Source organism: Homo sapiens, chromosome 17 (assembly GCF_000001405.40).
Source record: "Homo sapiens chromosome 17, GRCh38.p14 Primary Assembly".
NCBI lineage: Eukaryota > Metazoa > Chordata > Mammalia > Primates > Hominidae > Homo > Homo sapiens.
The window spans coordinates 30820032-30844611 of record NC_000017.11 but is presented as its reverse complement, the minus strand read 5'-3'; the positions used below and the strand labels follow the sequence as shown (position 1 = coordinate 30844611).

Genomic DNA, 24580 nt, shown 5'->3' with positions numbered 1-24580 from the left:
CACACCCAGCTAATTTTTTGTATTTTAGTAGAGCAAGACTCTGTCACAAAAAAAAAAAAAGAAAAACTCTTCACTATACCATAACTTTACTTACTAAAATAGAAATATAATACAGTTAAAATTTTACATAAGATACTAAATTTCAATCATAAGCACGTTCAGAATAATACCCCAAAACACAGGCCGGGTGCAGTGGCTCATGCCTGTAATCCCAGCACTTTGGGAAGCCAAGACAGGCAGATCACAAGGTCAGGAGTTCGAGACCAGCCTGGCTAACATGGTGAAACCCCGTCTCTACTAAAAATACAAAAAATTAGCCGGGCATGGTGGTGGGTGCCTGTAGTCCCAGCTACTCAGGAGGCTGAGGCAGGAGAATCACTTGAACTTAGGAGGTGGAGGCTGCAGTGAGCCGAGATCCCGCCGGCGCTGCACTCCAGCCTGAGTGACAAAGCGAGACTCCGTCTCAAAAATAAATAAATAAATAAATAAATACCCCAGAACACAAAAACAAAACAAAACAAAAACCCCAAAACATTCTAATATACATCATAAATATTATTAACTCTGATTACCAGGTACATTTTTAGTGGATGTGTTAAGTTTTTTTCCTAGCACATCATTCAAACACTGAAGTTTCTTCTGATTTTTCTCTGGATGCTTTAAAGCAGTAGGACTTGAATCTATTATTATAACAGAATCCTAAGACAAAATAAGAGAATAAATTTTAATTAAATCATATAATTAATATCATTGAAATTTCAAAAGAATCACAGTGATAGAAACCACAGAAAACATAATTAGCAGCTCCATACACCTCCCATCAGATATTATCTCATTGAAACAGAAAACACACAATAGAATAGCAGGAGTCCATGCTTACATCAAACAAGTTTATATGATATCAGGGTACGTTTATTATGACCATGGGCTTTCTTTTTTATTTTTATTCTTTTTTTTTTTTTGAAATGGAGTCTCTCTCTGTCGCCCAGGCTGGAGTGCAGTGGTGTACTCTTGGCTCACTGCAACCTCCGCCTCCCGTGTTCAAGTGATTCTCCTGCCTCAGCCTCCCAAGTAGCTGGGATTGGAGGTGCGCGCCACCACGCCCAGCTAATTTTTGTATTTTTAGTAGACATGGGGTTTCGCCATGTTGGCCAGGCTGGTCTCGAACTCCTGACAGGTGATCCGCCTGCCTCAGCCTCTCAAAGTGCGGGGATTACAGGAGTGAGCCACCGCACCTGGCCTCATGTGTTTTTTTAAATTGTGACAGGGTCTCACTCTGCCACCCAAGGTGGAGTGCAGTAACATGATCATGGCTCACTGCAGCCTCAAACTCCCGACCTCAAGCCATCCTCCCACCTCAGCTGCCCAAGAAGCCAGGACTACAGGCGCACACCACCACACCTGGCTAATTTTTGTGTTCTTTGCAGAGCCAGGTTCTCCCTATGTTGACCAGGCTGGTCTCGAACTCCTGGGCTCAGGCAATCCTCCCACCTTGGCCTCCCAAAGTGCTGGGATTACAGGCGTGAGCCACCAGGCCCAAAAAGGCTTTCTTTTTTGAAAAAGCAACTAATGCCGGACGGTGGTTCACGCCTGTAATCTCAGCACTTGGGGAGGCCAAGGCAGGGGGGATTACCTGAGGTCAGGAGTTCAAGACCAGCCTGAGAAACATGGAGAAACCCCGTCTCTACTAAAAATACAAAATTAGCCAGGTGTGATGGTGCATGCCTGTAATCCCAGCTACTCGAGAGGCTGAGGCAGGAGAATCGCTTGAACCCAGGAAGTGGAGGTTTCAGTGAGCTGAGATCGCGCCATTAACTCTAGCCTGGGCAACAAGAGCAAAACTCTGTCTAAAAAATAAAGCAACTAACATATGACCTGGTATTCATATGCAGAAAATTTTTAAAAAGCAACTAACAGACTGTACTCCAAATAAAACAGTCAATATGACCAAGCTATAAAAAGTCTGGTTATAGCCCTGTTGGAACTGTACATCCTAGAAATGTAATGAAGTCTGTGATTTTCCTGTCATCAGCATAGATTTACCGAGCACTTACCATATGTGAAGCAATATAGAAGAAATTGGGAATACACAGACAAAATTCAAGAATTGGCATCAAATGTTACATCTGAATGTAGGGGAGAGAGGGAGAGCTAGCCCATGAGCAGATAGTTTAACTAGTTATAATACAGCATGGTGAGTGCACCATCAACACAAAAAAATATACAAAAGTACATATCAGGAAAGAAAATATTTGTCTTGAAGGCATCAGCAAGCACAGTATTCATTATTTTCACTATTTTATTTTATTTATTATTTATTTATTTATTTATTTATTTATTTTTGAGATGGAGTCTCACTCTGTTACCCAGGCTGGAAGGCAATGGTGTGGTCTCAGCTCACTGCAACCTCCGCCTCCCGGGTTCAAGTGATTCTTCTGCCTCAGCCTCCTGAGTAGCTGAGATTACGGGCTCGCGCCACCATGCCCGGCTAATGTTTGTATTTTTAGTAAAGACGGGGTTTCACCATGTTGGTCAGACTGGTCTCAAACTCCTGACCTCGTGATCCTCCCGCCTCAGCCTCTCAAAGTGCTGGGATTACAGGTGTGAGCCACTGTGCCCATCCCATTATTTTATTTTTTTAATTTGTTTTTATTTTTCTTTTTATATATTCAACCAGAAGAGTCTTGAATACAAGCACAGCTTTGAAGAGGAGGGGGTAAAATGTTCAGAATAGCCAAAAAGTGAAAACAACCCAAATGTCCATCAGGTGATGAATGGGATATTTGGCAACAGAAAGAAAAGAAATACTGAGGCTGTAACATAAATCTTGAAAACACATCCTAAGTAATAGAAGCCAGACACAAAAAACCACATGCTATATGATACCATTGATATGAAATGTCCAGAACAAGCAAATCTACAGAGACAGAAGCAGGTTAGTAGTTAGCTATGGCTGGTGGAATGAGGGGATTGGGGGGTGACAACCAAGAAGAAAAGAGTCTATTTTTGGGGAAATGAAAATGTTCCAAAATTGACTACGGTAATGGATGCACAACTCTTCCAATATACAAAAGTCACTGAATTGTACACTTTAAATGGTGAAATGCATGTATATGAATTATATCTCAAACTATTTTATTAGAAAGAGGTACTGGCAGTTAGCAGGATCTCAAAGTTTAAGTAGGAATTCCTCACATAGAAGAGAGTACTTGGAACGTATATTTCAAGCTGATAACAATAAAACAAATACCGTGAAAACTGCACCATTTAGGGAGAAATGAACAATTCTGTGTGACTAGAGCAAAGAGTCGTTTTGAAGAAAGGCAAGAGGGCTGGCACCCTAGTAGGCCAAGGCAGGTGGATCACCTGAGGTCAGGAGTTCAAAACCAGCCTGGCCAATCACTGTGAAACCCTGTCTCTACCAAAAATACAAAACTGGCCGGGCATGGTGGTACACACTCGTAATCTCAGCTACTTGGGAGGCCGAGGCAGGAGAATCGCTCGAACCCAGGAGGCAGAAGTTGCAGTGAGCCGAGATCCAGCCATTGCACTCTCGCCTGGGCAACAAGAGCGAAACTCTGTCTCAAAAAAAAAAAAGGAAGAGGTAGTTCAGCTTATGAAAGATCTTGAGTGACTTAAGAAGGATTCAAACTGTATTCTGCAGACAAAAAAAAGCAGAAGGCTTTTAAAGCAAAACTGAAAATGATATTCTCTCTACCACTTCAAGCTATCACACAAACCTACCTTATAACTTTATAATGGTTTCCTTCTCCCACTCCAAACAGCAAAATAGGAGAGAATTTATACCAACAGATATTTATAATACTTACTTCTGTTTCTGACAATTTCTTCCTTTCAGGAAGTGTCTGATGTCTAGAGGAGCGCCTTAAGGGTATCGCTATTTCTTCAGTCACCTTTGACCTACTGATGTGTAAAGCTTTTGCTTTTTCAATCAATTGTTTTGCTTTTGATATGTTTTTTGAAGTATTGCTTGCCTAAACAAAAAATTGAAACATTAATTTACATCACAAGAAAATATTTTATATTTAATAATAGAAAAAAATACAATCACAAATCACATTAAATAATCAACAAAGAAATGGTTATTCAAATCTTACCAGGGGCCTTAAATTGAAATGTGTCTAGTTATCATTAGTTTGCCTTTATTTCTTACTTGAAATCATCCAGGTAAATATATTTACATGTGAGCAAAACACCCAAGAGGATGTCTGTAGTATAGACTTGGCAATCTATTTTTTAATTTTAGTCACCAAATTCAGGCAAAGTACTTTCCAAATCCAAACAGTTACCCAGCCTACTATATGAATGGCTCTAGGCTGGATACTATAAAGAAAACAGTATTATAATACATGGACCTTGGCCTCAAGGTTGTTTTTTTTTTTTTTTTTTTTTTTTAACAGAGTCTAGCTCTGCTGCCAAGGCTAGAGTGCAGTGGCATGATCTCGGCTCAGTGCAACCTCTGCCTCCCGAGTTCAAGTGATTCTCCTGCCTCAGCCTCCCAAGTAGCTGGGACTACAGGTGCACACCACCACACCCAGCTAATTTTCGTATTTTTAGTAGAGATGGGGTTCGCCATGTTGGCCAGGCTGGTCTCAAACTCCTGACCTCAGGTGATCTGCCTGCCTTAGCCTCCCAAAGTGCTGGGATTACAGGCGTGAGCCACCACACCCAGCCTCAAGCTTCTTATATATGATAAAGAAGAAAGAGTCTGGACACAGTGGCTCATGCCTCTAATTCCAGCACTTTGGGAGGCCGAGGTGGGTGGATCACCTGAAGTCAGGAGTTCCAGACATCCCTGGGTCAACATGGCGAAACCCCCGTCTCTACTAAAAATAACAAAAATTAGCTGGGCTTGGTGGCGGGCGTCTGTAATCCCAACGACTTGGGGCGGCTGAGGCAGGAGAATCCGCTTGAACCCAGGAAGCCGAGGTTGCAGTGAGCCAAAATCGCGCCATTGCACTCCAGCCTGGGCAACAAGAGGGAAACTCCATCTCAAAAAAAAAAAAAAAAGAAGATGGCCGGGTGCAGTGTCTCACGCCTGTAATCCCAGCACTTTGGGAGGCCGAGGTGGGCAGATCACAAGGTCAGGAGATGGAGACCATCCTGGCTAACACGGTGAAACCCCATCTCTACTAAAAATACAAAAATTAGCTGGGCATGGAGGCGGGTGCCTGTAGTCCCAGCTACTCAGGAGGCTAAGGCAGGAGAATGGCGTGAAGCAGAGTGCAGTGAGCCGAGACCGTGCCACTGCACTCCAGCCTGGGCAACACAGCAAGACTCCGTCTCAAAAAGAAAAAAAAAAAAGATATATCTATTTAAGCAGAGAAAAAATATCTGGAGAGAAAAAAATCTAACTATTAAACTATTATCTGAAAGGATAAACAATAAGCTGTTATGAATATGGGGCTCTTAGGGGAACCAGTTTACTCCTTATTCTCATAGAAACATTAAAAATCTGGCCAGGCACAGTGGCTCATGCCTGAATACCAACCAGCACAGCACTGTGGGAGTCCAAGGCTGGAGGATTGCTTGAGGCTAGCAGTTCGAGACCAGCCTGGGCAAAATAGCAAGACCCTGTCTCTACAAAAATAACAAACGAAAAGAAAAAAGAAATAAAAAAGAAAAATCTCACCCAGAAAATTACTAAGATTTTCTCCTAGAGCTAGTACACAAGGCTGGATAAGTCTTCAGTGAACAACAAGGGCCCTGTGGTAAGAAGTCCATTGACAGAGTATGAGATAAAATAACTGATCTAAGTAAGTTTGGATAAAGGTCCCAATTTGGATACATTTAATTTTGAGACTTCTCTTGCTGGAAAATTTACTATTAAATCCCAATTTTAAGTAGTACATGAGGCAAACCAAGGTATAATTATCTCTAAAAAAATTAAAGTTGAAGCTGTCCTCTAGAATGAAATCAAGAAGAATAAAATATGTGGGACAAAGTTCACCAAAGAGACTTTCAACCTTTAGCTGTAGTACAATCAGCTGGCATCTCGCATGTTTTCCAAAAGACTAAAGACCGTCTTTCTAACTGCTTGTAGTTGTATAACTCTAGGAAAGACACTTCCCAGAATCACAAATAAAAACACGTTTCCTCACCCTATGAACTAACAGCAAGTTTCTTCATCTATAAAAAAGGGTTAAATAATATTTACTTTATGAGATTAATGATGTGAGTACTAAGCACACTGCCTAGAATGTGGTAAGATGCCAAAAAATGACAGCTGTTAAATAAAACCAAAGGAGATACCAATGTAGCAGTGGTTTTCACTCAAGGATTAATTCAGAGTCACCTTGGTGGCTTTTTCGAAATACACATACCTGTACCTACTCCAATTCTGCCATGGTGGGGACAAGGAGCTTATTTTGCCGAAACAACTAAACCATTCTTATGTATCTTACTTCTCCCTTTAGAGCTGTAGTTTTTCAAGTGGAAGTGATTATTTTCCCCTCCGAGGGATATTTAGCAATGTCTGGACACATTTTTGGTTGTCATTATACAGGAGTTAGTTGGGTGCTACTGGCATCTTATGGATAGAGGCCAGAGTGTTGCTAAACATCCTACAATGCACAGGACAGCCCTCCACAGTAAAGAATTATCCAGCCAAAATGTCAATAATAGCAAGGTTGAGAAACTCTGCTTTTCAGTCTCTATAATCTATAGAAATAAATGAAAAATTCAATCATGACCTATAGGCAGTGTTACAGACTGAATACATCCCCTGAAAATTCATATGTTGGAATCCTAACCCACTATGTAATGGTATTAGGAGGTAGGGCCTTTAGGAGGTGATTAGGTCATGAGGGTGGAGACCCCTCTCTCTAGCTGTTCTCTACCATGTGAGAAAACAAGAAGACAGCTTCACCAGACACTGCATAGCTGATGCTTTGATCGTGCATTTCTCAATCCCCATAACTGTGAGAAATATGTTTCTGTTGTTTAAGCCACTCAGTCTATGGTAATTTGCTACAGGAGCCCAAACTAAGATCGGCAGTGTTAGGAAAAATGATCACGATGTAAACTCACTAAGAAAGCTTTTTATAAGTAAATTATACTCTGCCTTTATCAATTGCTTTCACCTCACAATAAGATATCTTAATTAACTAGAGGAACAGGATAATAGTGAAAAATATCATAGGGTTGTAGTTAACCAATTTATGAAATACATGAATTTTATTTTGGCTCATTACTTCCCATAGTAATGTGGGGGTTTTTTGTTTGTTTTTTAAGGAAACAGAATGGCACTTATAGGACTCTCTAATATTTTAATTACCTTTCTAATCTGAGAAGTAAAACCTCCATCAGTTGCTTCAGATTTCTCAGATCTTTTGTTAGATTTTTTCTTAGATTTTTTGGGAGTACTAATTCTGGTGAATTTCATTCTGAAATAAAAATAAGGTATTCAGAAACATTTTCATGATTATAACATACACAAGAATCTCAATTAAATATAGATAAAATAGAGCTGGTGCAGTGGCATCTGCATGTAATCCCAGCTACTCAGGACCCTAATATGGAAGGATTGCTTGACCCCAGGAGTTCAAGACCAGCCTGGGCAACACAGTGAGAACTTGTTTCCAGAGAGATAGATAGAGATGCATAGACAGATAGATAGACAGCAAAGAACCAACTAGGGCTCCAATTTCTGGAATGTTCTGAAACAGGAGGAAAAAAATAATTCCCATCAGTTTCAAACCACTGATTCAAAAGTAATCAAACTTGCCGGGTGTGGTGGCTCACACCTGTAAACCCAGTACTTTGGGAGGCCGAGGCAGGCAGATCACTTGAGGTCAGGAGTTCGAGACTGGCCTGGCCAACATGGTAAAACCCCGTCTCTACTAAAAATACAAAGATCAGCCGGGTATGGTGGCACGCACCTGTAATCCCAGCTACTCAGGAGGCTGAGGCACGAGAATCACTTGAACCCAGAAGGTGGAGGTTGTCGTGAGCTGAGATTGTGCTACTGCACTCCAGACTGGACAACAGTGAGTGAGACTCCATCTCAAAATAAAATAAAATTAAATTAAATTAAAAATTAAAATTAAAAAAAAAATTTAATTACATGTGGCAAACAAAGAAGCATTTTTGAAGCTCTGTTCTTTTTCTTCCAGGCCGGGCGCAGTGGCTCACGACTATAATCCCAGCACTTTGGGAGGCCGGGTGGGTGGATTGCTTGAGGTCAGGGGTTCAAGACCAGCCTGACCAACACGGTGAAACCCCATGTCTACTAAAAATACAAAAATTAGCTGGGCGTGGTGGCGGGTGCCTGTAGTCCCAGCTACTTGGGAGGCTAAGGCAGGAGAATTGCTTGAACCTGGGAGGTGGAGGTTGCAGTGAGCCGAGATTGCCCCACTGCACTCCAGCCTGGGCGACACAGCAAGACTCCATCTCAAAGAAAAAAAAAAAAGAAATCCTGTTCTTTTTCTTTTAAACAGCTGTGTTCTAGAAAAAAAAATACCCTCCAATACTTGAAGCATTTTTGTCCCCAGCTAATAATACATGCAGAATACTAGAACGTTAGAACAAAAACAAACCTTACCTAATAGGGCTCTCTGAATCAAAGGGTACTGTTATTAATTCTGCTGTATATAAGCTGTGCTTTTCCGATAAGTTGGCTGCTTTTTGAGTGGAAGCCTTTAGTTGACTATTATCTTGTACATCGTCAGAATCAATACCTCTAATGGTTTCTGTAGTAGGTGTGCTGCTAATTCTTCCAGATCTTCTAGTTGACTTGGGCGTGGAAACATTTAGCAAGCTGGCTTCAGATTCAGCTTTAGACTGTGTAAGCTTAATATCTTTAACTGGTATGCTGGTTTTTCTTGACAATTTATTATTGTTACACAGAGAGGAAACCTTTAGAAGGTCATCATTTGCTATATCTTCATAAACAAGACTTTCATTGTTAAATAAAGTGCTGCTTTTGAAAAACTCTGTTTTCCTTTGTCTTAAACTCATTCTATTTTGATATTGTTTCTCTTTTAAGAAAAAGGTTGTTTCTTTCTTTTGAGTGTTTCCCTCTCTGTTTTTGCCTGGAATAGCCCCAGTATCTAATGTTTTCTTATTCTTCTTCTTTAGCTTTTTATTTTTCTCCTTCAGAAAACTTCCTTTATCAGTGTGTAACTGTAAATTGCCATTTTTTGAAACCATTTGGATACCAGAATTTTCCATGATTTTTTTAGAATTATCATCTCTTCCTACTTCATATAGACATTTTTCATTAAGGTCTTTCTGCTTATCAGAAGACTTTTTAACTCCATTTTTAAGTGCATCTGATGCTGGCTGCCTAAATGCTTTCATAAATTGCTGTCTTTCTTCTAGAGTGCATTTTGGTTTCACAGCTTCAGAACTTCCAGCTTCCAAAACAGCCAATTCTAATTCTTCCTCCTGTATAACAACATTAGATTTTCTTTTCTGAACTGTCTGTTCATTCTCAGGATCAGATAAACTATTTTCCATTTCAAATTGCTTTTGTTTCAAGAAAATTCGGGGTATTTTCCCTGTCTTTTTGGGCGGAATAGGGTGAACCTGTGCAAGAACAGTAACTGTCTTAAAGCGTACCTGCTGGGAAATTTCGGAGTTTTCTGATTCACTTATATAACCACTTTTGACTATTTCGTCGACAGTTTCAGAAGGAACACAAATTGACATTGTAGAGTCTGGTATCTCTTCCACTTTATTTTCCTTGTGACTTTTTAAAAATTCCTCATATGAGACAGTTATTATACTATCATTTAACTGGGCTGCTTCAGTTACGTTATCTCTAGAGTTTGCATGGCTTGTAGTATTCTCCATCTGTTTAGTATCTTTACCATCTTTTTTAAGCAAATTTAGTTCCTCTGCCAAGGGTAAGCTTTCAGATAGATCTACTACATCTCTGCATTTCCTTTTTCTCAACTTTTTGAAGTCATTTTTTGTGGTCCCTTGTTTAGGATTTACTTTTTTAGAATTTTGCAGGGAGGTCATAGTATTTGGTTGACTTTTTGTATCTTGAATGTTTTCTGCAAGTACCTCTACTTGTTTCTTGTAACGTAAAACAGAAGTACTACTTTCCACAAAATCATTATTTAAACTATAGTCTTCTTTGCTATCGTCGCTACTAATTTCAATTGGAGCTTCATTTTCAGTTTTAATATTATTTAGTTGATGAGATAAATTAACCCTCTTTCTTTTCTTCTTAAACTCTACATTTGAGAACATTTCCAAAGGTGTCGTACAGTCTTTGTTGCTGTCAACAGGTACTGATTCAGGTGACTTTATCTTGCACTCTTTCCCTAATTGTGTCTTCTCATTTGTGGGTGAAGTCTTTCTAAAATAATCCAGAATATTACTAGGTTTTGGTGGAGCAAAAACCCTGTCTCTAGTCTTCCCTAGTGGTGATAAATATTTTGTAATTGTTTTGCAGGTAGATGTGTCATCATCTTTCTTTCGCTTTTTGCATGGCTGGCAATTTAAAAGAGAAAAAGGCACTTATTTCAAGCAATATAATACAAAATATAAATTTTAAACATGGATCTAATAGTTTACATAATAGGATTAAAAAAAGGAAGCCTCCTTTAGGTGAAAAACGTGATATATTAGAAAGAAAATAGGCTTTAAAGTTAAACCAGGCCAGGTGCGGTGGCTCACGCCTGTAATCCCAGTACTTCAGGAGGCCAAGGCGGGTGGATCACTTGAGGTCAGGAATTCGAGACCAGCCTGGCCAACGTGGTGAAACCCTGTCTCTACTAAAAATACAAAAAATTAGCTGAGCATAGTGGTGCACGCCTGTAATCCCAGCTACTCCGGAGGCTGAGGCAGGAGAATCACTTGAACCTGGGAGGCGGAGGTTGCAGTGAGCCAAGATTGTGCCACTGCACTCCAGCCTGGGTGACAGAGCAAGACCTTGTCTCAAAAAACAAAAAGAAACCATACATGTATTAGAAAAACGCCATTCAGTTATTATTTATAAAGCTGCAATTGTATCAAAGGCAACATACATAGGCTCTGGAGTCAGGCAAATCTAAGTTAAATGCTGGCTCTGACATTTACTGGTGTAAAACGTTAAGCAAATTACTTTTAACTTTTCCATTTAATTTTTCAAAAAATTTAACTTACTTTTAGCTACTTTTTACCTTCTTTCATTTGTAGAATACAGACAATAGATCATAGGGTTGCTATTAAGCAAAATAATGTGTTTAAGGTTCTTACCCCTAACATATTAAATGGTAAGTATCATTATTATGAAATAGGGTTTCTTAGCATTAGGGCACCAAAACCAGAAACTGTAACGGAAAGATTGATAAAACAGACCACATAGAAATCAAGAACTGTGTACATCAAGTACCAGAAGACAAGCTGAGTAACTAACTGCCTTGATTTAGCAAAGGAATATCAGCATAACAACTAAGTAGACAAAAAAAAACAAAAACAAAAACTAAGTAGACAAGTCACCAGATTCTGAAAAAAACAACTGGTCGCAGTTAAATGAACATACATACATCTTAACTCTCTTCAAGGACGCCAAGATACATGCTTCAGTTAGAATGCTAGTCTGAGATGAAAAGGTGTAAAATATAACAAGTCTACCTTAAGATGCTAGCCCACTACTTCATGGCATTAGAATCTCTTTATAATGACCGCTTAGTGCCTGTCACTGAAACCTGATAAACCCAAAAGAACATGTTACACTGCGATTCCTAACCGCAGATACTAAGCCATGAGAAACTGTTTTCTTTAAGTACCTTGCTTGATTTCTGTAGTGACATTCTAAAGTGGCATTCCAAGCACAGGTGGATGTATGAACTAGTTTAACTTAAAGATCTTCTTCAGCGCTAAAGTTCAGTGATTCCGTATCACGAACCCAGAACTTGACCCTGGGATCCTCTGTGACATGTCGGAAGTCCAAAACATCACGTTCCACCAACATTTCGGGATCTGGGAACTGGCCGTGTTATCTTAAGTCCCCAATTTACTGTGACCCCGCAAATATCTCAGAATCCAAATGTTTATCAGGACTTGACACGACTCTAAACGACACACTCTGGCAACTGTTGCACACAATGTGTCACAGCTGTGGGTCCTCACAATGTCCCACCTTTCCCCTTACAAAGTCAGGATCACCTTCCGCCAAGACCCACCTTCCAATCCCCCAAAAGATAGAGGAAGGAACTCAACAGATCCTCGACTCAACCTCACCTCAATCTCGCAGTCCTTCACGGGAGGCGGAGCAGCTGCAGCCGCCATGGCCAGGACCCCCACCATACTCCCCGCTTCCCGGAATCCCGTCTCCTAGGACCTCACGCGGTCCAGCCCGGCCTGCCTGGAGGCCATGGAGGCGGCCCGCTCCAGTAGCAGCAAGCTGCTGGGATTCTGCTGAGCCGTTTCGGATTCCCCCGCGCCCACCGACAGAGAGCGGGAGCGGAGGCTGGGCCCAGATCAGCCGAATCGAACACGGAAAGAGGCAATGAGAAAGCGCGGGCAATGAGATCCCTGAGGCGCGGCCAGTGTATGCAGGGTGCCCTCGAAAGCGGCGCTTCAGGCTGAGCGCTCGGGACCGGGCAGGGAAAGCAAGCGGACCGCAGATCGGACCACAGAGCTTCGGAGGGAATTCTTGTCAATTGGGTTTTCGCGCCGTCCTGCGCGCAAGGGGCGGAGTTTACGGCTGCTTCAGGAGGCTGCGCGGACGGTGAGCCGAGAGGGCCAAAATGACTCCCTCGGCGAACCCGCGGGAGGCGGAACCATTGCACCGTGGAATTGAAAGCCAACCCGGGAGTTTGGAAATTTGAATTTCTGTCCTATCAGTTTCACCGTTGAGGACGTGATTTCACTAAGTCACCTAGTCAGTTGTTGACAGAATTAAAATTTAGACTTTTAACGCCCTAGGCTAGCCCCTCTTTAAAGGCGAAATTTGAAAAATGCAGAAAAAGGAAATAATTGATTTACATTGTTACCATGCACAATAAAATGCTAATATTTGGGCGAGCTTTCCACCTCAATATACGTCCTCTCAGGATCCGAAATTCGACTTTTATACCTATAAAAGTCGAAGTACCTATTCGACTAAGAAGGCATTTCTTTCTGTGGATTCCATCCTCTCGAACAGCCGAGTCATTGCTTCATCTGGTTGGCCTGCGTTCAGTCCTCGCAGGGTACCTACCAGTAGTTTGCTGGTTTCTGATCTCATGCATCATTTGCATTGTTTTCATGGGTTTGGTTAGCCTTTACTTTTTCTCTTTTCTTTTTTTTCACTGTCCCAGGTTTATCGAAAATATTACAGCATTACAGAAAGACTCAAACAGCTCCCCGAGGCGTTTTGAAATTCATCTCAACTGTAGGCTGAGTGACCTACAGGTTGGACAGACTGCCGAAGTCCAAAAGTTTCTGCATTTCCTTAGTGTCAGGATTCTACTTCAATGATCTCCTGATCCAGAGCTTAGACCTCGGGAACACAATTGTCTCTCCTTTCTCTCTCCTCCTCCTGCAGCTTCATGGAGATACCTCTCTCTTACTGGCCCCCTCTGAATCCGCTTTATCAGATGCGTGACATAGCCTGCTATCTTGTTGCGGGGCTTCTTGCTGGGAATAATGGCGATTTCCTCGCACACGCGCTTGTTCGTGTGGAAGTCTTTGCCCAGGCGCATGTAGTACTTTTCTATGATGACCCGGGCCGCCTTCTTTACTTCACGGTTTTGGTGCGAACGCGCCCCATGTTGGTGGGTCCTTGGTAAAATAGCTCTTTTTTTTTTACGTTAAAGTTGCAATTACATTAAATACAGCATGTTACATTTGTTTGAGTGCATCGTTTTTGTTGTTGTTGTTTGTTTGTTTGTTTGCTTGAGACGGAGTCTCCCTCTGTTGCACCAGGCTGAAGTGTAGTGGCACGATCTCGAATCACTGCAATCTCCGCCTCCCGGGTTCAAACGATTCTCCTGCCTCAGCCTCGCGAGTAGCTGGGACTACAGGCGCGTGCCACCATGCGGGGCTAATTTTTGTATTGTAGTAGAGACGGGGTTTCGCCATGTTGGCCAGGCTGGTCTCGAACTCCTGACCTCAGGTGATCTGCTCAACTCGGCTCCCCAAAGTGCTGGGATTACAGGCTTGAGCCACTGCGTCCGGCACCGCGCTTTTTTTTTTTTTTTTTTTTTTTTTGAGGTGGAGTCTGGCTCTGTCACCCAGGCTAGAGTGCAGTGGCGCAATCTCTGCTCACTGCAACCTCCACCTCCCCGGTTCAAGCGATTCTCCTGCCTCAGCCTCCTAAGTAGCTGGAACTACAGGTGCGTACCACCATGCCCAGCTAATTGTATTTTTAAGAGACAGGGTTTCAACATCTTGGCCAGGCTAGTCTGGAACTCCTGGCCTCAGGTGATCCACCTGCCTTGGCCTCCCAAAGTGCTGAGATTACAGGAGTGAGCCACTGTGCCCAGCCAATTTGCTTTTTTTCACTCAACTTTTTATTTATTTATTTATTTTTTTTTTTTTGAGACGGAGTCTGGCTCTGTCGCCCAGGCTGGAATGCAATGGCGCGATCTTGGCTCACTGTAATCTCCACCTCTCAGGTTCAAGCGATTCTCCTACCTCAACCTCCTGAGTAGCTGGGATTACAGGCTCGTGCCACCATGCCTGGCTTTTTTTTTTTTTTTTTTTTTTTTTTTGTATTTTTAGTAGAGATGGGTCACCATGTTGGTCAGGCTGGTCTTGAACTCCTGACCTCGTGATCTGCCCGCCTGGGCCTCCCAGAGTGCTGGGATTACAGGCGTGAGACACCACACCAGGCCTCATTCAACACTTTTTTCAAAAGCCATCCATGATACATATAGATTTGATTCATTCCCTTTCTTTCCTGAACATTCTATTTATGCAACTCATTTTATTTATTCATTTCCTTATTATTATCATTTTTATTGTTGTTGTTTTGTTTTTGTGTTTGAGACAGGGTCTCACTATGTCACCAAGCTTGAGTGCAGTGGCATGATCTCTGCTCACTGCAGCCTCAAACTTCTGGGCTCAAGCAATCCTCCCACTTCAGCCTCCCAAGTAGCTGGGACTACAGGAGTGCGCTACCACGCCCGGCTAATTTTTTGTATTTGTAGAGAAGAGGTTTGGCCATGTTGCCCAGGTTGTATTATTATTATTTTTTTGAGACAGGATCTCACTCTGTCACCCAGGCTGGAGTGCAGTAGCGTGATCACTGCTCACTGGAGCCTCCACATCCCTGGCTCAAGAGATCCTCCCACCTCAACTTCCCAATTTGCTGGGACAACACGTTCGCCATAATGCCCGGCTAATTTTTGTATTTTCTGTAGAGACAGGGTTTTGCCATGTTGCCCAGGCTGGTCTGGAACTTCCTGGGCTCAAGCAATCCTCCCTCCTTGGCCTTCCAAAGTGCTGGGACTACAGGTGAGCCACCTGTATCCATTTCCTTACTGATGAATATTTAAATTGTCTCCAATTTTCTGTTATTCAAATGCTGAGGCAATGAACAGTCTTGTCCATGTTTTCTTCAACACGTGTAATGTTTCTCTAGGATTCACATCTAGAAATGGGATTGTTGGGTTATATACGGTGTTCTCTAGTGCTTTTTATTCTTCTGAGTTACAAAGCATTTAAACTGCATTAAGTTGTTAAGCATTTCCACTGAGTAGTTTTAGATACATAGTATTTTACCAACCCTTATTTAGGAGCTCATGGCTTTTATCAATTTTAATCTAAATGAACTCTCACATGGTAAAGCAATTCACAGTTTACAGAGTGCCCATGTCATTTCAGATTATCTTCCCCATGTGTCTAACACCTACTTTTAAAAATCGTTATTGTTGTCTGGGCGGGGTGGCTCACGCCTGTAATCCCAGCACTTTGGGAGGCCAAGGCAGGTGGATCACCTTAGGTCATGAGTTCAAGACCAGCCTGACCAACATAGTGAAAAACTCATCTCTACTAAAAATACAAAATTAGCCGGGTGTGGTGGCGCACGCCTGTAATCCTAGCTACTCAGGAGGCTGAGAATCACTTAAACCCGGGAGACAGAGGTCGCAGTTAGCTGATATCGCGCCACTGCACTCCAGCCTGGATGACATAAGAGTGAGACTCTGTCTCAAAAAAATTAAAGAAAGGAAGAAAATAAAGAAAAAATATGGGTGGGGCATGGTGGCTCAGGCCTGTAATCAGAGCACTTTGGAAGACCAAGGCAGGGAACTGCTTGAGCCCAGGAGTTCTAGATCAGCCTGGGAAACATACAGAGACCCTGCCTCTACAAAAAAAAAAAAAATGTAAGGCTGAGGCCGGGAGCAGTGGCTCACAACTATAATCCCAGCACTTTGGGAGACTGAGGCAGGTGGATCATCTGGAGTCAGGAGTTCAAGATCAGCCTGGCCAACATGGGGAAACCCAGTCGCTACTAAAACTACAAAAATTAACGGGAGTGGTGGCTCACAGCTGTAGTCCTTGCTACTTGGGAGGCTGAGGCAGGAGAATTGCTTGAACCCGGGAGGCGGAGGTTGCAGTGAGCCGAGATCGTGCCACTGTACTCCAGCCTGGTTAGCAGAGCAAGACTCCATCTCAAAAAAAAAAAAAAAAAAAAAATTAAGACTAGGTGCAGTGGCTCACACCTGTAATCCCAACACTTGGAGGCCAAAGTGGATGGATTGCTTGAGGTTAGGAGTTCAAGACCAGCCTGGCCAACTTGGTGAAATCCCATGTCTAATAAAATACAAAAATTAGAGCCAGGTGTGGTGGCTCACGCCCATAATTCCAGCACTTTGGGAGGCTGAGGCCGGCGGATCACAAGGTCAGGAGTTCAAGGCCAGCCTGACCAACATAGTGAAACCCCGTCTCTACTAAAAATACAAAAAATTAGCTGAGCGTGGTGGCCAGTGCCTGTGATCCCAGCTACTCAGGAGAATGGGGCAGGAGAATCGCTTGAACCAGGGAGGCGGAGGTTGCAACGAGCCGAGATCATGTCACTGTACTCCAGGCTGGGTGACAGTGCAGGACTCCATCTCAAAAAAACAAAAACAAAAAAAGAAAACACAAAAATTAGCTGGGTGTGGTAGTGGGCGCCTGTAATCCCAGCTACTCTGGAGGCTGTGGCAGGAGAATTGCTTGAATCCAGGAGGTGGAGGTTGCAGTGAGCCGAGATGGTGCCACTACACTCCAGCCTGGGCGACAGAGGGAGACTCTGTCTCAAACAAACAAAAAAATTAAAGAAGTGTCTGGGTCTACTGGCAGGTGTCTATAATCCTACCTACTAGGCAGACTGAGGTGGGAGAATCGTTTGAGCCCAGGAGATCAAGGGTGCAGTGAGCCCTGATTGTGTCACTGCACTCCAGCCTGTGTGACAGGTGACAGGCAAGCCCCTGTCTCAAAAAAAAAAAGCTGGAATGAAAGGTGGAGTCAGAGAGCAAAAAATTGTCAACTATGTGTCCAGTACAGTTAGGAGCGTTCTTTTTTTTTTTTTTTTTTTTTTTTTTTTTGAGACGTAGTCTTGCTGTGTCGCTCAGACTGGAGTGCAGTGGCACTATCTCAGCTCACTGCAACCTCTGCCTCCTGGGTTCAAGCAATTCTCCTGCCTCAGCCTCCTGAGTAGCTGGGATTACAGGTGCGCGCCACCACCAAGCCCGGCTAATTTTTTGTGTTTTTAGTAGAGATGAGGTTTCACCCTGTTAGTCAGGTTGTTCTTGAACTCCTGACCTCGTGATCCACCCACCTAGGCCTCCCAAAGTGCTGGGATTACAAGCATGAGCCACCACACCCAGCCCAGTTAGGAGCTTTCTGAGAAGAGGTTGGAGACAGGAGAGGGAAAAAGCCTTTGCTGACCAGATGACCAACGTATTCTGATCTGAATCCAACTCTCTGGTTATAACTTGATTTTCCAGCTATTGTGATTTTTTTCAACAATTATATTCCTGTTGTAAATAAATAAATTGGCAAGCTGCTTAGTTTGTTTCTTGTGAGTCTTATTAGCAAGAGTCTGTTCCCTGGAATCCTCTGGGTACACTTGAAAAGTCAGTTCTGGACCAATGTGATGCCATGGAGATATCTCTGTAAAACTCTGTCTGATGGCTAGCTGACATCTACTTCTAAACCAGTTTCCTCGAGAACATTTACTCTTTAGGAATTCATGCTCTAAATTTAAAAACAATGCATCTAAAAATGTCAAGTCTAGGGGTAAGCAGTTTTAGAATATTTCCTTCAATTTTCTTATTTGTTTTGTTTTTGGGTATAGTGTAGATATGTTAGATACACACTTCTTGCCTTCCATCAGACTAAGAAAACAAAGTTGAATGAGACCAAGATTCATGTCCTGGTTTTATGGAAGTTTTCCTTGTAATTTTACTTATTTATTTATTTATTTTTATTTTTATAGACATAGGGTCTTGCTATGTTACCCAGGTTGGTCTCTAACTCCTAGGCTCAAGGAATCCTCCCACCTCAGCCTCCTGAATTGCTGGGACCACAGGAGGGCGCCACCACCCGCGGCTAATTTTTTTTTTAAATCTTTTTGTAGAGAGGAGGTCTCCTCATGTTGCAAAGGCTGGTCTCAAACTCCTGGGCTCAAGCAATCCTCCTGCCTTAGCTTCCCAAGATTACTGGTGTGAGCCACCATGCCCTGCCCATAAGGTTTTATTACATACAGTCACACCTATTGTGACAGATACCTTCCGGTCTGGCAAGCCCAAGCCCAGCTTATTCACTACGGTCCTTACAGATAACACTTGCCAACACCCTTCTTGGACTTGTGCCAGAATTGCTGTCCTGCTGGTCATCTCTTGGGCCTCTCTCTTGGATCCCCCATTCGTCCACGAGCTTCTGGGTGGTGACACCTGGGTTTTGTTGTTGTTTTTTGAGACCGAGTCTCGCTTTGTTGCCCAGGTTGGAGTGCAGTGGCACAATCTTGGCTCACTGCAACCTCTGCCTCCCGGTTCAAGCAATTATCCTGCCTCAGCCCTCGAGTAGCTGGGATTACAGGCGCCCACCACCACACCCGGCTAATTTTTGTATTTTTAGTAGAGATGAGGTTTCACCAGGTTGGCCATGGCTGCTCTTGAACTTCTGACCTCAGTGATCCACCCGTCTCGGCCTCCCAAAGTGCTGGGATTACAGGCGTGAGCCACTGCTCCCCGCTGACACCTGGGTCTTAGTAAATTCCCCTAAGGCCTGCTCTGCTCTTAAGGACCAGGGCTTTTGTCATCAGATCTGGGCTCAAATTCTGCGGCTTGGAAAAGTCGATTCGCTATTTTTTAAAATTTTTAATTTAAAAAAAAGTATTTTTTATTTAGAGACAGGGTCTCGCTCTGTCGCCCAGGCTGGAGTGCAGTGGCTCCATTACAGCTCACTGCAGCCTCGGCCCCCGGGCTCAAGCGATCCACTGGGACCACAGGCGTGCTCCACTACGTGTTGCTAGTAGTAGCAGTAGTAGTAGTAGTAATAGTAATAGTAGTAGTATTTTTGGTGAGAGAGGGTTTCGCCGTGTTGCCCAGGCTGGGTCTCGAACTCCAGAGCTCAAGGGATCCGCCCGCCTCGGCCTCCCAAAGTGCTGGGACTGCAGGCGTGAGCCACCGCGCCCGGCCGATTCCCCCCTTTATCCCTCAATTTCCTCATCTGAGCAATGGAGATACAGGTAGGGCTGAAGGTCAGGCAAGAATGCGATGAGCTGTGAGAAGCACTTGGCAAGGTGCGGGTTATCAACCTTGCCAGGCCTCAGCACGTTTCCCAAGGAGGCCCAACCAGCGGCGCTGTGCCGCAGCACGGAAGAGGCGGGGTGAGCCGCGGGGCGGGCGGCGCTGGGACCCGGACGCCACCCGCGCGAGGCGCCGCCGTGCGCCCGTCAATCAAGGTCGTCGTGGGGCATGGGGCGGCGGGGCTGGGCGGTGCTTCCGCCTGCGCGAGGCCGCGCCGGGCCGCTTGGAGGCGCCCGGTGCAGTCGGGAACCCGCGCTAGGTTTCGCCGGCCGCGCGGCCAGATGAGGGGGGCGATGGAGCTGGAGCCTGAGCTGCTGTTGCAGGAGGCCCGCGAGAACGTGGAGGCAGCGCAGAGCTACCGGCGGGAGCTGGGTCACCGGCTTGAGGGGCTGCGTGAGGCGCGGAGGCAGGTCGGAGGGCCACACCCACAGGGGCGCTGTGGGCCCGGGGGTGGCGCGGATGCCGGGCGAAGGCTGGGAGGGCTTTGAGGGGTGGGACTGTCCGAAAACTCTGGAGTAGGGAAGAGGCATTCATTTGAAAGGAGACCTAATGGAGTCTGGGAACGGGGAAGGTGGGAGTTGGGGAGGTCGTAAGGGGAAGTTTTGGGGGTGGAGGGAGGGTGTGAGGAGCGTTCACTAAACTGTGGGGCAGCGATGGGAGTAGCGGTGGCCTCCGAAGTTTGGGAGAGTGAGGGACCAGAGCAGAATCCGAGGGGGTCATGCGGGTAGTGATGAGTCGGGGGAGGAGGAGACTGGTAAAAAACCTGCGGTGGGTAGGCGGGGAGGCATTGATTTTAGAGAGCCTGAGGAAGAGGTGGGACAGTGACCTGGGAGAGCTGAAAGTGGAGACAAAATGGATATTGGAAGGGGAGGACTAAGGGGCGAGAGTGAGGGAGAGGTAGGGATTGAGAAGCAGTAGCATTTGACAATAAATGCGGTTAATGCCTGAATAATATGTCATACGATCTTGAATGCTTTTTAAAAAATCATTTAGAGTAATCCTGTTCTAGAAGGTTTAAAATTTAAGGTGAAGGTGAAGCTATGTTGGAAGAGCAGAAGGAAAATGATTTCCTTTTCCTTGAGAGAGGGAATACAAAGGTATAGAGAAATGGAAAAATAGATTTTAAGAGAGGAGTGCTGAAAGGAAAAGCTAAATATAATTTCAAGTGGTGCAGTTATCTGTTTCACAGGGCAAGAGTTATCAAAGATACAGGAAAGCCATATGGTTTCTCTATACCCTCGAATATATATAGAAAAAGATATAACCCGCTGCCAATTGGCGATAGGACGGATAATCTTCAGAGTACTATTAACGCAACTGCTTAATAAGTGCTTTTTGAGTGAGTGGGATTCCATCTGAATTTCTCTGGGTCATACTTGATATTAATCTAGTTGGTCGTCTTAGCACTTCCTTGCTGCATATAACCTGAAAATGGTAGAAAAGTGCTGTGCTAACAGTGTCTTTGGATATTCTCATCATTAACGACTCAACATGTTTTGGGTTTTATATATATATATAAAACATATACAAACATATATAAGTATGTATATATATAATCTGTTTTTTTTGAGACGGAGTCTGGCTGTGTCGCTCAGGGTGGAGTGCAGTGGCACTATCTCGGCTCACTGCAACAACCTCCGCCTCCCGGGTTCAAGCGATTCTCCTGCCTCAGCCTCCTGAGTAGCTGGGATTACAAGTCTGCGCCACCACACCCGGCTAATTTTTGTATTTTTAGTAGAGAGGAGGTTTCACCAGGTTGGCCAGGATGATCTTGAACTCCTGACCTCGTGATCCACCTGCCTCAGCCTCCCAAAGTGCTGGGATACAGACGTGAGCCACCGCGCCCGGCCGGGTTTTATATATTTAAAAATATTTGTAAAGCCAGTGTAGGCCAGACATCATTTGCATTTTAGTGGCGAAACCGGAAGCAGAATCTAGATATGATTATGCTGATTTGGTGAATACTTTTCAAGGCCTTTCAATGCACTCATCTCTATTTCTCTTTGAAAATATCTGCATTATTCCTTCTGCTATTTTGAAATAGGGACTCTAGATGTAAGACATTGTATGAAAAGAAAGATATTAAAATACCATCTAACATTTCAGTCAGTTAAGATGTATTCTATATGACCATGATTATTGTTTTTGTATTAGCAATTAAGAATCAGAGTTGACACTAAATGAGTGAGTTTAGCACCTGGGAGTAATTAATTTCTCTTGATATTGGATGCATTAAAAAAAATCGTGATTACACCCTAGATGGTTCAGTATTCAATTTTCAAACCTGTATTTTTTCAATTTTATATCCAACAATTTAAATACAGGACATGCTTTTCTGTGGTTTAGTTTATTATGAGCTTTGTTTTGTTTTGTTTTTGAGGCCCATTGTCTTGGGCTTCAGACAGAAAACACTAAATGAACATCGATCACAATTAGGTTCCTGATGACATTGCCTTCTGACTAGACTGAGTAATAATGTAGTTCTCTTTTGTGAGTGTGAGTCTCTTTTGGGAATGTGTTTTGTGCCAGTGGCAGTTACAACAGCATCTCTCGAAGCTAACTCTAGTGGATTGTGCATGTTTGGGTTTGTGGCATAAGTCCTCTGTCAACTTGCATTTTAAGGAAGGTCTATGGTACAAAAATATTATCAAAGTAAGCAGCTGCTTTTGTTTGGTGGTTTGGATATTTTTAGGGTTCCAGTCATTTTCAGAATAACTGTAAAATATATGGCACTTTAGTCAAGGATTTTGCATGGGAGAAGCATGAGAAGAGCAGAGAGGAAGGGATGCCACCTGTCGTCTGTATTTTTTACTTGCTGATTTTATATCTTTTTGGCAGATGATTTCTTTTCTTTTTTTTTTTTTTTTTTTGGCGGGGGTGCGGACAGGGTTTTGTTACGTTTCCCAGGCTGGTCTCCAACTCCTGGGCTCAAAAGATCCTCCCACCTCTGCCTTCCGGTGATGGAATTACAGGTGTGAGCCACTGTGCTGCCTGGCATGTGACTTTTTTTATTGAGATATAATTCACACACCGTAAAAGTCATGCCTTAAAGTTTACAATTCAGTGGTTTTTAGTATATTCATAGAGTTGTCCAACCATCACCAGTGTCTAATTCAAGTATATATTCATCACCCCCAAAAGAACTCCTTAGCTGTCACTCCCATACCCCCTGGCAACCACAAAACTACTTTGTCTCTATGGATTTGCCTATTCTGGTCATTTCATATAAATGAACTCATACAGTATGTAGCCCCTTGTGACTGACTTCTTTGACTTAGAATAATGTTTCAAGGTTCATTGATGTGGTAGCATGTAACAGTACTTCAAACCTTTTTATGGCTGAATAATTGTTATGTGGATATACCACATTTTATTTATCCATTCATCAATTAATGGACATTTGGATTATTTCCACTTTTGACTATTATGAATAATGCTTCTGTAAAGAATTTGTAGACAACTTTTTGTGTGGACATGTTTTCAGTTGTTTTAGAATATAGCTAGGAATTGGTGGATCACATGGTAACTTTTTGTTTAACCTTTTCAGAAACTCTTGGCATACTTTTTTTCCTTTTTTCTTTTTTTTTTTTTTTGAGAAAGGACCTCACTCTGTCACCCAGGCTGGAGTGCAGTGGCACAATCTCAGCTCACTGCAAGCTCTGCCTCTCAGGCTCAAGTGATCCTCCCATCTCAGTGTGCCGAGTAGCTGGGACTACAGGCACGTGCCATCACCCCTGGCTAATTTTTTGTATTTTTGGTAGAGATGGGGTTTTGCCATGTTGTCCAGCCTCCTGGGCTCAGATGAACACCCACTTTGGCCTCCCAAAGTGTTAGGATTACAGGCTTGAGCCACCGCACCCAGCCTCTTTTTTTTTTTTGAGCCAGAGTCTTGCTCTGTCACCCAAGCTGGAGTGCAGTGGCATGATCAGAACTCACTGCAGCCTCGACTTCCTAGGCTCAAGCCATCCTCCTGTCTCAGATCCCCAAGTAGCTGGGGCTATAGGTACACACCACCACACCTGCCTAATTTTGTTTAATTTTTTTTAGTAGAGATGATGTCTTCCTGTGTTTCCCAGACAGTTTCTTCCTTTTTTTTTTTTTTTTTTTTTGAGAGAGTCTCGCTCTTTTGCCCAGGCTGGAGTGAAGTGGCACAATCTTGGCTCATTGCAACCTTCAGCTCACTGCAACCTTAGGCTCACTGCAACCTCCGCCTCTTGGGTTCAAGAGATTCTCCTGCCTCAGCCTCCCGAATAGCCAGGATTACAGGCGTCTGCCACCATGCCCATCTACTTTTTGTATTTTTACTAGAGACAGGGTTTCACCATGTTGGCCAGGCTGGCCTCGAAGTCCTCACCTCAGGTGATCCTGCCCACCTCAGCCTCCCAAAATGCTGGGATTACCACCGTGCCTGGGTGAGCCACCGTGCCCAGCTGCCAGGCCGATTTCTAACTCCTGAGCTCAAGCAATCCTCTTGCCTCGGCCTCCCAAAGTACTGGTATTACAGGTGTGAGCCACTGCATCTGGCCTACCTTTTGTCTTTGCTTTAGTTTCTTATCCTTTAAACTCTAGCATGAAATTTGTCTCGTATTGAGAAATCATGTTGTATGAACATTTAGAAGGAAGAAGAATAAAAATGTTTTTAAGTTATTCTGTCAAAACTGCCAACATGTAGCAGTTTCTCCTCTTGTGGTTAAGTTTGGGCTCTACCCTCTGTTTTCAGAGAAAAGGAAGTTCTGTGTAGGAATGCAAGGATTGTCTGTTAACTCTTAATGTTTGAATAAGTTAAAGGCTAGAAAGCTGTTCATTGTCTTCAGGAAATCAGATAATGTTTACAGCCAACTTGGCCTAGCTGATGTTGAAATCATTAAGAATAGTTCTCTATAGCTCACTGGAATCCTTGG

At 43.4% G+C, this 24580-nt stretch overlaps 2 protein-coding genes and 1 pseudogene across 13 annotated transcripts in view, besides 6 other annotated features; 1 reads left to right on the top strand and 2 right to left on the bottom strand.

Annotated features, from left to right (window-relative positions):
* ATAD5 (ATPase family AAA domain containing 5) overlaps positions 1-12646 on the bottom strand; it is a 63904-nt gene extending 51258 nt beyond the window's left edge. For 10 of the 11 annotated variants that reach the window (XR_001752632.3, XR_007065465.1, XM_011525269.4 and 7 more), the window contains exons 1-5: positions 12199-12646; positions 8564-10464; positions 7298-7406; positions 3831-3995; positions 573-699 (exon numbers count right to left, since the gene is read on the bottom strand). Coding sequence is in view for 8 of the 11 variants with exons in the window: in XM_011525269.4 (XP_011523571.1) it covers positions 573-699; positions 3831-3995; positions 7298-7406; positions 8564-10464; positions 12199-12264 (2368 nt within the window). In the remaining 3 variants the exon portion in view is untranslated. Of the gene's footprint in view, positions 1-572; positions 700-3830; positions 3996-7297; positions 7407-8563; positions 10465-12198 lie in introns of those variants that run through there. The other variant, XM_011525274.4, reaches the window with a different exon arrangement.
* Positions 11779-12413: an enhancer, noted in NCBI's record as "NANOG-H3K27ac-H3K4me1 hESC enhancer chr17:29159217-29159851 (GRCh37/hg19 assembly coordinates)". NCBI's record gives its function as "activates a minimal SCP1, AML or CMV promoter by ChIP-STARR-seq in primed H9 embryonic stem cells {active_cell/tissue: H9 hESC(primed)}" and the evidence as "EXISTENCE:reporter gene assay evidence [ECO:0000049][PMID:30033119]".
* Positions 12414-13050: an enhancer, noted in NCBI's record as "NANOG-H3K27ac-H3K4me1 hESC enhancer chr17:29158580-29159216 (GRCh37/hg19 assembly coordinates)". NCBI's record gives its function as "activates a minimal SCP1, AML or CMV promoter by ChIP-STARR-seq in primed H9 embryonic stem cells {active_cell/tissue: H9 hESC(primed)}" and the evidence as "EXISTENCE:reporter gene assay evidence [ECO:0000049][PMID:30033119]".
* Positions 13051-13686: an enhancer, noted in NCBI's record as "H3K27ac-H3K4me1 hESC enhancer chr17:29157944-29158579 (GRCh37/hg19 assembly coordinates)". NCBI's record gives its function as "activates a minimal SCP1, AML or CMV promoter by ChIP-STARR-seq in primed H9 embryonic stem cells {active_cell/tissue: H9 hESC(primed)}" and the evidence as "EXISTENCE:reporter gene assay evidence [ECO:0000049][PMID:30033119]".
* RPS17P3 (ribosomal protein S17 pseudogene 3) lies at positions 13252-13735 on the bottom strand (annotated as a pseudogene).
* Positions 19627-19921: an enhancer, noted in NCBI's record as "tiled region #4018; HepG2 Activating DNase unmatched - State 1:Tss". NCBI's record gives its function as "activates a minimal TATA promoter and a strong SV40 promoter by Sharpr-MPRA in HepG2 cells {active_cell/tissue: HepG2}" and the evidence as "EXISTENCE:reporter gene assay evidence [ECO:0000049][PMID:27701403]".
* Positions 19627-20008: a biological region, named in NCBI's record as "Sharpr-MPRA regulatory region 4018".
* Positions 19629-20008: a silencer, noted in NCBI's record as "silent region_8401". NCBI's record gives its function as "represses an Ori minimal core promoter by ATAC-STARR-seq in GM12878 lymphoblastoid cells {active_cell/tissue: GM12878}" and the evidence as "EXISTENCE:reporter gene assay evidence [ECO:0000049][PMID:35858748]".
* CRLF3 (cytokine receptor like factor 3) overlaps positions 19920-24580 on the top strand; it is a 42009-nt gene continuing 37348 nt past the window's right edge. For both annotated transcript variants that reach the window (NR_073118.2, NM_015986.4), the window contains exon 1: positions 19920-20089. Coding sequence is in view for 1 of the 2 variants with exons in the window: in NM_015986.4 (NP_057070.3) it covers positions 19961-20089 (129 nt within the window). In the remaining variant the exon portion in view is untranslated. The remainder of the gene's footprint in view (positions 20090-24580) is intronic.